Source organism: Homo sapiens, chromosome 1 (genome assembly GCF_000001405.40).
Source record: "Homo sapiens chromosome 1, GRCh38.p14 Primary Assembly".
Lineage (NCBI taxonomy): Eukaryota > Metazoa > Chordata > Mammalia > Primates > Hominidae > Homo > Homo sapiens.
Window position 1 is genome coordinate 29,205,263 of NC_000001.11, and position 13,309 is coordinate 29,218,571.

Genomic DNA, 13,309 nt, shown 5'->3' on the forward strand with positions numbered 1-13,309 from the left:
CAACTTCCGCCTCCCGGGTTCAAGCGATTCTCCTGCCTCAGCCTCCTGAGTAGCTGGGGTCACAGGCGCTGCCACCACGCCGGGCTAATTTTTGTATTTTTAGTAGAGACGGGTTTTCACCATGTTGGCCAGGCTGGTCTCAAACCCCTGACCTCAAGTGATCTGCCAGCTTCAGCCTCCCAAAGTGCTGGGATTACAGGCATGAGACACCATGCCTGGCCTTAAGGGTTAATTCTGCAGTGGGTTCTGAGAGTCTTCAGAGGGCCCCAGCAAGACTGAGCAGGCCGGCTGGGGGTGGGTGGCTCGCGCCTGTAATCCCAGCACTTTGGGAGGCTGAGGTGGGCGGATCACAAGGTCAGGAGTTAGAGACCAGCCTGGCCAATATGGTGAAACCCCATTTCTACTAAAAATACAAAAATTAGCCAGGCATGGTGGCAGGCACCTGTAGTCTCAGCTACCTGGGAGGCTGAGGCAGGAGAATCCCTTGAACCCGAGAGGTGGAGGTTGCAGTGAGCCCACGCCACTGCACTCAAGCCGGGGCGACAGAGCACGACTGTCTCAAAAAAACAGCCGGAGCAGTAGTTGCCCGCAGCAGTAACCGGGCTTCATGGGCTTTGCCTCCATCTCTGTCTCACTCTCCCCACTCCCCTTCATTTCTTCTTCCCAAACAAACTCTCTGCACCCAGTGCTGGTCTTAGGCTCTGCTTTCAGAGAAACCCAAATAAAAACACTTGGCTCTGTCATTTACTCCCTGGCTGATCTCATGCAAATAGTTTACCTTTCTGGACCTCAGTTTTCCCATTTATGAAAGGGAAGAAGAATATAAGCAGCGGACAGTCTCTGCACTGTATGCCCAGCACTGTGTGAAGTATTATGCTGTAGTGTTTCACCCTCCACGTTCTTTATTCTCCATTTTACAGAAGAAAAATCTGATGATTTGAGAGGCAAATTCACAGTCAGGGAAAGGTGAAGCCTGGGGTCAGACCCAGGTTATCTGCCCAGAGCTTGAGCTCTTAACCAATGATGGTACCAACCTTACTGCAATGCTGTGAAGATTTCATGCACTCAACGGGGATAATGCCTGTCAACGCACTTCTGTGAACTGGAAAGTGCTATGTAAACGCTGAGTGGAATTATTAACACTAAGTTCAGCATTTTATTGAAAACATAGGGACTGTGTCTATCTTGTCTGCCTTTGTATCCCAGAGCTTAGCCCCAGCTCAACACATTTTTGCTGAATGACAGAATTCAATCCCAAGCTCTAGAGAATGTGACCCTGCAGCAGTTTTCGAGAGTGTACTCCTCATGAGGTTTCAGCATGTTTCCTAGGAACCAAGCTAACATCTTTCTAAGTGAAAGCAACAACATTCACCCAGGTGAGAGGTCCATCACCCCCTCAAAACCTCCACCTTGCAAGTTCTCCTGGCCTTGGGGTCAGGATGTGAGTGGCACCCTAGTTGCGAGACCCTGGCCTGCTCCCCCAACCTGTGGGTTCCTACCTGGCTGCAGTTGCTCGAAGTCCATCAACATCCTGTAGGCTGTGCAGGGATTGACACCCAGGGTGGCAGCGCTCTGAAGAGGGATGTCACTCGGAACTTGGATCAGTGCTTCCTCGCTGAACACAGCCTCGGTCCGCCAGGTTCCTGAGTCAGAAGATGAAGCCAGGATCATAAGGAAGGAGCCCTGTGCACATTCAACCCCAGCTCACCCTCCTTGGCCAAGAAGCATCCAGGATAGTGGGTAGCATCCACTGGAAGCATCCAGGATAGCATCCAGGATGTTTAGAAAAAGAAGAAAATCTGGACGTTCCTCTGAATGTCTGAGTCCTCATGATAATTATGCACAATAGATTGTTATTCTTTTTAATTTTTTTTTTGGAGACAGAGTCTTGCTCTGTAGCCCAGGCTGGAGTGCAATGGCGCGATCTTGGCTCACTGCAACTTCCGCCTCCTGGGTTCGTGATTCTTATGCTGCAGCCCCCTGAGTAGCTGGGATTACAGGCATGCACTACCATACATGGCTAATTTATTTATTTTTAGTAGAGACAGGGTTTTGCCTTGTTGGTCAGGCTGGTCTTGAACTCCCGGTCTCAGGTGATTCGCCTGCATCGGCTTCCCAAAGTGCTGGGATTACACACATGAGCCACTGTGCCTGGCCCAAAATAGACAGTCATTCTTATCTTAAACATGTAGTAAAAATGGGGTGTGGTGGCTCATGCCTATAATCTCAGCACTTTGGGAGGCAAGGTGGGAGGACTGCTTGAGGCCAGGAGCTCAAGACCAGCCTGGGCAACATAGTGAGACCTTGTCTCTACAGAAAAAAAAAAAAAAAAAATTAGCTGGGCATAATGCCCTGCAGTCCCGGCTTCTCATGAGGCTGAAGTGGGAAGATTGCTTGAGCCCAGTAATTTAAGGACACAGTGAGCTATGATTGTGTGACTGCACTCCAGCCTCGGTGACACAGCAAGAACCTGTCTCAAAAAAACCCAAAAAACAAAAAACAAACCAAAACAAAATATGCCAAATACCATTGTAAGGGCGATTCAGAGAGGCTGCTTCTCTGAGTTACCATTAGATTTAGTTAATGTCACCGTGCAGGTAGTTAATGACCTCAAACTGCTGCAATCTAAGGGTAAGACAGTAGTAACATTACCACCAGGGCAGGAGAAGCTGAGAAAGCCCCCTTTTTCCTACACAGTCCTCATTCTTCTCATCCAGAGCAGGTTGACTCACATGTTTTTTTTTTTTAAGATGAAGTCTTGCTCTTGTCTCCCAGGCTGGAGTGCAATGGCATGATCTCGGCTCACTGCAACCTCTGCCTCCTGGGTTCAAGCGATTCACCTGCCTCAGCCTCCCGAATAGCTGGGATTACAGGCACCTGCCACCACGCCCGGCTAATTTTTGTATTTTTAGTAGAGATGGGTTTCACCATGTTGGCCAGGCTGGTCTCGAACTCCTGACCACAGCTGATCCGCCCGCCTCGGCCTCCCAGAGTGCTGGGATTACAGGCGTGAGCCACTGCGCCCGGCCTGACTCAGGTAGTTTTAGGCAACAAAGCATAAAAGTAGAAGTCAAGAGCACAGATGCCAAACCTGGTTTTGCTATTCTGCTAGTTTGAGAAAATTCCTGTCACTGAGTTTTAGTTACTCTAATGTGTAAATAGCACAGGCAAGAACAGCCTGACTCGCCTCCTCCAGGAGCTACTGTAGAAATCAAATGAGATAAGGAAATGAAAAATTCTATAAGCTTGAAAGAAATGAGCATCAACTCCCAGCCCACATTCCAGTTCCAGACAAAAGAATTCTAGAATGTCAGTACTGAGAAGGCCCTTATCGAACATCGACTTTGAACCCCTCATGCAACAGGGGAGGAAATGAGGAAGTGACTTGCCCAGAGCCCCCTGGCTTATCTAGGCAGAGTTGGAGCTGGAACCTGGGTATCTGGGCTGCCTTCCTTCCATCTACAGATATTTATCTTGCACCCAGGCACTTGAACAATACAGACAGTTTCCTTAGTTTCATTCTAGTGGAGTCGAACAGGTGAAAAAAAGCAGATATGATAATGATAAATTATAAAGAGACAGGAACATCAAGAGAATTACTTTAGATGGGAGTCAAGGATACTTCTCTGAGGAGGTGACAGGCTAAGAGTGAAAGGATAGAGGTGCTACCGTCTCAGAGCACACAAAGAACATCTTAGGTAGGGCATGCAGCAGATGCAGAGATGCTGTAGCAGGACAAAGGACTGGGATGGGATGATGCTGCACCGCAGGGTGGAGAGTGATGGGAAGAGTGGCTTGAGACATGGCTGGCCTGGCTGATGCAGCAGGGGCCGGGCAGGTGATATTAGACTTTCAGAATTCTGACCCACAGTAACCATGAGTTCCACTGTGAATTCGTACATATACATACATGAATGTACGTGTAACACAAGCCTGTGTTTCACAGAATACTTACCCTTACTATGTGTGATACTCTGCTATTTTTCATTCTTTTCTGCTCAACTTTAATTTTAAAAAGTGCTATTTGCAACTCACTAGATTGATTTCTCGAATGGGTCACAACCTGTGGTATGAGAACATGACCTCAGCACTGTGGTATGGAGAACTGATCTTGTTTTAGTGAATGAGTGAGTGGGAAGCCTGTAACAAGCTTTAAGAGGAGACTGAGATGATCCGATGTATGCTTTAAGATCACTTTATTGCTGGGTGAAGACTGTGGAGTGGGGAGGGGCAGCGTGGAAGCCAGAGGTCTTTGTGGGGGTCGAGGTATGAGATGATGGCTGCCTAGTCTGGGACTTTGGCAGTGGGGATGAGGAACAGAAGATGGATTTGAGTTCTATTTTAAAGACAGAATCAATAGGATTTGGTGAGGACTGCGTGAGGGGTCTGCACTCACACAGGCAGGATCTTGTATGAAGAAGGGGTGAAGAGGGTAGGCTTTGGAGTCAGAGAGACTCCAGCCTTGGTTCCACAGTGTCCTCACTGTGTCACCTTAGGGAAATTGCTTGGAGCCTTGTTGGCTCAGCATCTGGTCACAGTGGCAGCTCGGGGCCCTTGGCCTATGCTTCCAAAGCTCTTGGGCATGCCTGCTCACTATCCAGTTGCTGGGATTCTAATGGTGTCCTGGTCCTATGTGGGTCAGCTGTGGGAAGCAGGGGGCAGCCTGGGTAATCACTAACTGTGCTATAGGAAACGGGGATGTCAATGTGGGCTTTAGGGACCAAGAACTGGGGACAGGAGGCAGGAACACTTTTTTTTTTTTTTTTGAGATGGAGTCTTGCTTTGTCGCTCAGGCTGGAGTGCAGTGGCACGATCTCAGCTCACTGCAAGCTCTGCCTCCAAGGCTCCCGCCATTCTCCTGCCTCAGCCTCCCAAGTAGCTGGGACTACACGTGCCCGCCACCACACCCGGCTAATTTTTTTGTATTTTTTAGTAGAGATGGGGTTTCACTGTGTTAGCCAGGATGGTCTCGATCTCCTGACCTCGTGATCCGCCCATCTTGGCCTCCCAAAGTGCTGGGATTATAGGCATGAGTCACTGTACCCGGCCCAGGAACACTTTTTATAGAAGGCTGTGTCAATCCTAGAGTAGGTCTATGGCTGAGAAAATAAGAGACTGAAAAGGCGAGGATTCCTCTGTAATCCAGGAAGTGCCCCAGCATCCTGTGGGCTTCCCCCGGACTGGCCTTCAAATCATCGTTCCCATTCATCTCAGCTAACACTTACTGTACTCTACCGTGCACCAAATGCTTAGTGCAGGGCTTTCTATGTATGAAATCCAGGGCATTTTCTAATTCCCCTTATGGCACGACAATGGAAATCCAACCCTTGATATGGATTTCTGGGGCTTAGCAGTCCCTAATCCTCTTCTCAAGAGACTCTGGGTGGGAGGGAGGCAGCACCCGTGGTCAGAGACAAGGGCTTTCAGGGTTTCAAGTAGAACTCTTAGGCTTGAAGTTGGAGAGACCTGCTTAAAAACCCTGGCTCTACCACTCACTAGTGTGTGACTTTGAATGATCACTTCACCTTTTTTGAGTTTCCATTTCCCTAATCTGTGAAATGCAGAGAGTAACACTTATGTCATAGTGTGAAGATTAAACTAAAGACATTTGTACAGAGACTATCACTATGCCTAGTACACAGTGGGTGTATAACACACATTGTTTTCCTTTAATGATGCTAATTCCCAGACTTTAGCTCTGAGGATTCCCAATTCCTCAGTCATATGCAACTGACCCTTAACCATCTCCATTGTTGAACTTGGGGGTCAGCAAACTGTGGCCTGTGGGCTAAATCTGCCTCACCACTTGTTTTTGTAAATAAAGGGTTTTTTTTTTTTTTGTTTTGAGACAAGAGTCTTACTCTGTTGCCCAGGTTGGAGTGTGGCTTACTGCAACTTCTGCTTCCTGGTCTCGAGCTATCCTTCCATGTCAGCCTCCCCAGTGGCTGGGACTACAGGTGTACGCTGCCACACTTCGCTAATTTTTTGTAGAGATGGACTTTCACCAAGTTGCCCAGGCCATTCTTGAACTCTTGGACTCAAGCGATCTGCCCGCCTTGGCCTCCCATGCTGGGATTACAGGCATGAGCCACCATGCCTGGTCCTGTAAATAAAGTTTTATTGGAACACAGCCATGTTCACTCAATTGTTTATATATTGCCTGTGGCTGTTTACGATAGTAGAGTTGGGTAGTCACAAAGATGATATAGCCTACGAAGCCTAAAATATTTACTATTTGGCCCTTTAAGATAAAAATTTGCCAACTCCTGATCTAATGCATACAGAAATTTGGCATTTGCAAAGATCATTGCATATATTCTCAGTTGAGTACTGCTGAGACATGCTAGGCAGTGACAATTAGTCCCATTTTCGAGATGAAAAAACTGAGGCTCAAAGTAGCTGTGACTTAAATTAGGTCATACAGCGGAGCTGGAAAGAGAACTTGCCCCCTGATTCCAAAGCCAGTGCACTTTCTACGGCTCTGTGCTTCCTCAGGAAGGTTTTGCATATTTCCCAAGGAGAAAGTCAGTTGGCAAAGATCTATCCACACCATCTGGTCTGGTCTCCCCTGGGATTGGCTGCACGTGGGAAAAGGCTGGCTATGGGCTTAGCAACAGCTAGGCAGCTCAGAACCATGAAAAATGACCAAGCTGTGGCCAACTAAGAACTTACCTGTTTAATAGTTGCCACTCTTACTAAATGGCAGTCTTCACGAGAAGAAAGACCATGTCTGTTCACTGCTGTGTCCTCAAGCCCAGCATGCTGCAGATGCTCACAAAATGTTTACTGAATACACTGAGTTAATTGCAGTCCTCACAATTATAAAATCCTCATCCTCTCTGGCTGGCACCTTGCTTAAAAGACTCACCTGCTGGCCAGGCGCAGTGGCTCAATGCCTGTAATCCCAACATTTTGGGAGGCCGAGGCGGGCAGATCACCTGAGGTCAGGAGTTCAAGACCAGCCTGGCCAACAAGACGAAACCCCATCTCTACTAAAAGTACAAAAATTAGCCAGGTGTAGTGGTGGGCGCCTGTAGTCCCAGCTACTCGGGAGGCTGAGGCAGGAGAATTGCTTGAACCCATGAGGTGGAGGTTGCAGGTTGCAGTGAGCCAAGATTGCACCAGCCTGGGCAACAGAGCGAGACTCTGTCTCAAAAGATAAACAAAACAAAACAAAAGAATCACCTTTTCTCCAGGGAAGAATCCCTGTTCTGGGTACCCCCACCACCACATGTACAATTACCCATACACCTGGCAGACATCCTTTATTGTTCTCTTCTCCAAACTGAAAGTATTGCCAAGTCCTGTTACTTTAGCCCTTGACTCCATGCCCTCTTCTCCAGCCCTACGACACTGTCTTATTCAGACCCTCACACTTCATCATCTGAAGCCTGACTTGTTTGCCCACCTCCTCACTGGCTTTCTGCCTCCACCCTCTGCCTTTCCAGACCAATGGTTTCCAGACCATTCTCTGCATTGCACAAATCCTATCAAATCATTCCTCTACTTAACTCTCTGTTGGTACCCCTCGCACCGTGGATGCAGGACCGCTGGGACCCAGCCCCACCCCACCTTTCCAGCTCCATCTCACTTCTCTCCCACTCGCACCCATGAGCCAGCCACCCTGAGCTACCTGCAGTTCCCCACCAGTGCTGTGCCTTCTCTCATCACTTACGTTCACACACGCTGCACTCTGTGCCTGGGAAGCCCCTCCTCACCTAGCCCACTGGCTGCACTTCCAGCAGCTCTTCCAGACTGAGTTCAAGCATCACTTCTCTGGGAAGCCTTTCTTAACGCTTTCCAAGATAGAGGACTCTTGTCTTGGTGTCAATCCTGTGATTATGGCACTTGTAATACTGTATTGTATTAAGTGTTGTTTTTCCATTTCTGGGCCTCCCACTGCCAGCCAAGAGCACTCTGAGGGCAGGAACTGTCTGCTCACCTTGATAGGACCTTCACTTAGCACGGGGGCTGGCCCGAAGCACTGGCATCAGGATCCAGTGAATCCTTGCAGCTCTCAATTTGCTCAAATGGCTGAGCTCCTTCACCGCCAGGTGGGTGTAGGAGACGGTGGAGCCATTCTTGGCAGCCTTCCTGATCTCAGAGAAGCAAAGAGCTTGTAGTAGACTCCTATTACTGTTTTTTTTTTTCCTGCCTAGTATCTTTTTCTCTCTACAAGTGCTCCTTCCTAATCTCTGGGGCTGTCAACCACAAGGCCCCACCTGTATCACAGAGGAGGGTGAGAGACTCAATCAGAGCAACCGGAGTGGCCCTACCCCGCCCCAGGGGACTGGTTCAGGGATGGGCAAGGCCCATTCAGGGCCCTTCTGGGGGATGGATATGGTTGTGCTGGACATGATTGTGGAGGATATGCTCATTTGTTTGTTTTTAGGGTGATATGAACCTCAGGCTGCTGGTGGCCATCTATGAGAGGTATGTATCAGAGTGGATCTGAATTCTAACTCCATCACTTTTGGCTGGGTGACCTTGGACAAACTGCTTAACAGTTTACAGTTTTCTGCTGCATTTACTGTTATATCACCTGCAAAGTGGGAATGATGAGGTATCCATCTCATGTTGTGGGAACAATTGAGTTAATATACATGAAGTGCTTAGAGCAGTGCCTGGCACAAAGAGAGTGGCCAATAAATATTTGTTGGTTTGATTATATCAATATGTGGGGAGATCTCATCTAAGAACAAGTGAGAGACACAACTCTGATAGTACTGGGGTTCCTGGATCTAGCTGAACCCGAAGCTTTCACTCTGTTACACTTCCCAGTTCCACAAATCAACTTTCTTTTTTTTTTTTTTTTTTGAGATGGAGTCTTACTCTGTCGCCCAGGTTGGAGTGCAGTGGCACAATCTCGGCTCACTGTAACCTCCGCCTCCTGGGATCAAGTGATTCTCCTGCCTCAACTTCCCGAGTAGCTGGGACTACAGGTGCACGCCACCATGCCTGGCTAATTTTTTATTTTTAGAAGAGACGGGGTTTTACCATGTTGGCCAGGCTGGTCTCAAACTCCTGACCTCAGGTGATCTGCCTGCCATGGCCTCCCGAAGTTCTGGGATTACAGGCATGAGCCACTGCGCCTGGCCTTATTTTTTTTTTTTTTTGGAGATGGAGTCTCACTCTGTTGCCCAGGCTGGAGTGCAGTGGCATGATCTCGGCTCACTGTAGCCTCCACCTACTGAGTTCAAGAGATTCTCCTGCCTTAGTCTCCCGGGTAGCTGTGACTACAGACGCATGCCACCACACCCGGCTAATTTTTTTATTTTTATTAGAGACAGGGTTTCACCATGTTGGCCAGGCTAGTCTTGAACTCCTGATCTCAGGTGATCCACCACCTCGGCCTCCCAAAGTGCTGGGATTACAGGCGTGAGCCACCACGCCTGGCCCCAACTTCTTTTTTTAAAGCAAGTTTGAGCTGGGTCGCTGTAAGTTACAACCCAGAAGATCATAACACTGGTGTGTAATGGGAACCCAGGAGAAAGAATCCAGTGGGCACTCTCATTTTGCTGTTTGACTTTGGGCCAGGGCTTTACTTCTCAAGCTTCAATTTATGTCCAATGGATGGATAATACCTGCCCTGCTTCCCTCTTGTAGCTGCTGTGAGGATCAATAACAGACGTGCCTTGAAAACTGTTAAGTGCTAAAAACAAAACTCACCTATGACTCCTTATAATATATCAAACAAAATCCTACTCATTAGCTTGGCTTGGGCAGGGCCTTACCCCATGTGGACACAAGCTACCTTTTTAAAAAAAAATAGACAGGGTCTCACTCTGTTGCCCAGGCTGGAGTGCAATGGTGCGATCATAGCTCACTGTAGCCTAGAACTCCTGGGCTCACGTGATTGAACCTGCCTTTCTGGCCTTCTTTCTCACTCGTGCAATCCTCTCCCATATGCAAACCCTCTGCTGAGGCTACAATGGATTTTCCACCATTTCCCAATCTCACCTTTGTGTCTTTCCTCATTTTACATCCTCCACATGAAGTGAATTTTGGCTCATCTCCATGTATAAACAAAATTCAGACTCGGCACAGTGGCTCATGCCTGTAATCCCAGCACTTTGGGAGGCTGAGTGGTGGGTCACCTGAGGTTAGGAGTTTGAGACCAGCCTGGTCAACATGATAAAACCCCCTCTTTACTAAAAATACAAAAATTTGTCGGGCGTGATGGTGTACACCTGTAATCCCAGCTACTCGGGAGGCTGAGGCAGGAGAATCGCTTGAACCTGGGAGGCTGCAGTAAGCCGAGATCGCGTCACTGCACTCCAGCACAGGTGACAAAGTGAGACCCTGTCTCAAAAAAAAACAAAACAAGGCCAAGCGTGGTGGCTCAGGCCTGCAGTCCCAGCATTTTGGGAGGCCGAGGCAGGCGGATCCCTGAGGTCAGGAGTTTGAGACCCAGCCTGGCCAACATGGTGAAACCCCATCTCTACTAACAATACAAAAATTAGCCGGGCGTGGTGGTAGGCGCCTGTAATCCCAGCTACTTGGGAGGCTGAGGCAGGAGAATCACTTGAACTGGGGAGGCGGAGGTTTTGGTGAGCTGAGATCGCGCCATTGCACTCCAGCCTGGGCAATAAGAGCAAAACTCCGTCTCAAAATAAATAAATAAATAAAAAAAATAAACCCTGCATTACCCAGGTACACTCGGCCAATCAGTGGATGCCGACAGAGTGGGTGAAATAGGATCTGGAAGAACGAATAGGCAGCTGACACCTGGAGAAACTCACCTAAACCAGCATTTGCTGGAATCACCCAGTCTCCTGGCTTCAGCCCGGTCACATTGCTGCCCACCGCTACCACCTGTGCAACACCTTCGTTCCCTCCAACAGCAGGCAGTTCAGGAAGGAATCCGTAGTTTCCTGAGGGAGAAGAGCATTAAAGGGTCAACCAGTGATGTTTGGGCAGTGAAAGAGCATGGACTTGAGTCCACGCCATCCTAGGCCTGATCTGGGCTCTGCTTTGGACTGTCTGCCTAACCAACCTCTGAGCCTTAGCTTGCTTGTCTGTATAGGGGGACAATATTCTTTAGTGTTCATGGTTATCATGAAAATCAGGTAACATATGAAATGAAACCAGCATGTCGCAGGCACTTCACAATGCTTAGTTTACTCCCCACTGCAATCTTCTCAAAAAGCCACACATTCCAGAAAAGGGAGGCCAGACAGGGCTGACACAGCCTGCAGACGGCTCATCTGGAGAACAGCTGCTGCTAATCACAGGCATTTCACACCCACACCTGAGGAGGAATGAAAATGAGGTGGCAGCTGAACAAAAAAGCCAATTAACATAAGCCACAGAAACCAAGGTTACCTTGGATCATATTTATGTCAGATGGATTGATAGGGGCCGCCAGCATCTTCACACGGACATCTGATCCTCTCACAGCAGCTAGCTCCAGGTTCTTGAGTCTAAGCACAAAGCCAAACGGAGATGTTCATGTCATCCAGGCTAGAATGGGTGTTTCGCTCAAATCATCTCCTCAAAGTAGGTCAGGCAACATTTCTGAGCTGCCATGTGTGCCCAGGAATTACGGTTCTGTTATAAAAGAGAGGTACCATAAGAAATCAACACAGGAGGCTGGGCGTGGTGGCTCACGCCTGTAATCCCAGCACTTTGGAAGGCCGAGACAGGCGGATAACCTGAGGTCAGGAGTTCAAGACCAGCCTGGCCAACATGGTGAAAACCTGTCTCTACTAAAATACAAAAATTAGCTGGGCGTGGTGGTCGGCGCCTGTAATCCCAGCTACTCGGGTGGCTGAGGCAGAAGAATTGCTTCAACGTGGGAGGCAGAGGTTGTAGTGAGCTGAGATTGTGCCATCCAGCCTGGGTGACAAAGCAAGACTTTGTCTCAAAAAAAAAAAAAAAAAAAAAAAAAAGAAATCAACATAGGATAGAGGTTGACTCTCATTAACTGCAAGTGGAAAACCCACAGTGTTTTTTTTTTTTTTTTTAGACAGAGTCTCACTGTGTCACCCAGGCTGGAGTGCAGTGACACAATCTCGGCTCACTAAAAGCTCCGCCTCCCAGGTTCAAGCGATTCTCCTGCCTCAGCCTCCCAAGTAGCTGGGACTAGAGGTGCCTGCCACCACGCCCGGCTAATTTTATTTATTTATTTTTTTAGTAGAGATGGGGTTTCACTATGTTGGCCAGGCTGGTCTTGAACTCCTGACCTCGTGATCTGCCTGCCTCGGCCTCCTAAAGTGCTGGGATTACAGGTGTGAGCCACTGTGCCCGGTCTTTCAACCCCACTGCCCACTCTGGGACAGGAAACCTCTGCTGGCCTAGATGAGCCCTGTGTTTTCCAAAACTCGCTTAGTTATAAGAATTACCTGGTATGCTCATGGATATAAATTATCAGGCCCACCTCTGATCTACTAAGCCAGAATCTCCAGATGAGGGCACCCCAAGTAGTTCTTACCAACCGGGGTATCTTGGAAATCCCAGGCTAGCTGACATGTCCTCCACATGTTTGATTTTATTCTTGGTCCTAACATATACAGGGGAGAGGAGATATTTCTGTTAGTTGCAGAGTGTGGGCGTAATGGGGAGATGGCCTATGTAGTTCACAAAGAACTCCCTGGATGGCTGTGATTCACTCTGAGTGATGTCCCTTCTGGAGGAGGATTCTTGTCTGGCAGAAAAGACCCTGGGTGGAGGGCTGAAGGTCCTGGGTATAAAGCTCCACTGCAGGATGCCTGGGTCACCATGGGCAAGTTTCTTCTCTGCTCTAGGCTTCTGTTTCTCCATTTGTAAAACAGAGTTGCAGTGGTGGTTTGGACCTGATCCCCTCTGGAAGCCTCTTCCATGTTAAGTGGTAAGTCCCTCTGCTCATGGTGGGTCTTGGACACCATGGTGGCAACATCTTTATCCCAGTGAAACTTTGCTTAATGGGCAAAACCTGCAAGAAGGCTTTTGAGGGAGGCCAAGTGGCAATGTGCATGTGTTACTTTTGTTATTTCAAAAAAGCTTTTTAAAAAAGGAGCTCTGCCAACCAGATACTACTGGTCAGTGTACTGGACCCATGGGGCCTGTGACTTTTTAATCACCAGTGACTGCTTTCTTTCTTTCTCCACACCCCTTAGATTTCATGTTTGCAATGCTTCCCTCTGCCCAAATGCATTTATTAAGTAGTAATTCATTTTTACTTACCCAAGACACATATAACTGCCAACAAGGTTTTTAGCATTAGGCAACAGTATCACCCAACTAAGCTGATGTAATTCCACCTACTTCCTGCAGAAATCTGACCTTTTAATTATACTGGAGGCTTGATCTTGTGGTAAAAGTGTGATTT

General features: G+C 48.2%; 1 protein-coding gene across 23 annotated transcripts in view, besides 2 other annotated features; it reads right to left on the minus strand.

Moving 5' to 3' along the window:
- The window catches only part of MECR (mitochondrial trans-2-enoyl-CoA reductase), a 63,239-nt gene that overhangs the window by 37,567 nt on the left and 12,363 nt on the right, over window positions 1-13,309 (minus strand). For 16 of the 23 annotated variants that reach the window (XR_007060748.1, XR_007060747.1, NR_146213.2 and 13 more), the window contains 3 exons: window positions 11,326-11,423; window positions 10,743-10,874; window positions 1,500-1,643 (listed from right to left, as the gene is read on the minus strand). Coding sequence is in view for 16 of the 23 variants with exons in the window: in NM_001349717.2 (NP_001336646.1) it covers window positions 1,500-1,643; window positions 10,743-10,874; window positions 11,326-11,423 (374 nt within the window). In the remaining 7 variants the exon portion in view is untranslated. Of the gene's footprint in view, window positions 1-1,499; window positions 1,644-10,742; window positions 10,875-11,325; window positions 11,551-13,309 lie in introns of all 23 variants that reach the window. The other 7 variants (NR_146215.2, NR_146212.2, NR_146214.2 and 4 more) reach the window with 1 other exon arrangement.
- Window positions 3,957-4,458: an enhancer, noted in NCBI's record as "H3K27ac hESC enhancer chr1:29535731-29536232 (GRCh37/hg19 assembly coordinates)". NCBI's record gives its function as "activates a minimal SCP1, AML or CMV promoter by ChIP-STARR-seq in primed H9 embryonic stem cells {active_cell/tissue: H9 hESC(primed)}" and the evidence as "EXISTENCE:reporter gene assay evidence [ECO:0000049][PMID:30033119]".
- Window positions 5,227-5,346: an enhancer, noted in NCBI's record as "active region_610". NCBI's record gives its function as "activates an Ori minimal core promoter by ATAC-STARR-seq in GM12878 lymphoblastoid cells {active_cell/tissue: GM12878}" and the evidence as "EXISTENCE:reporter gene assay evidence [ECO:0000049][PMID:35858748]".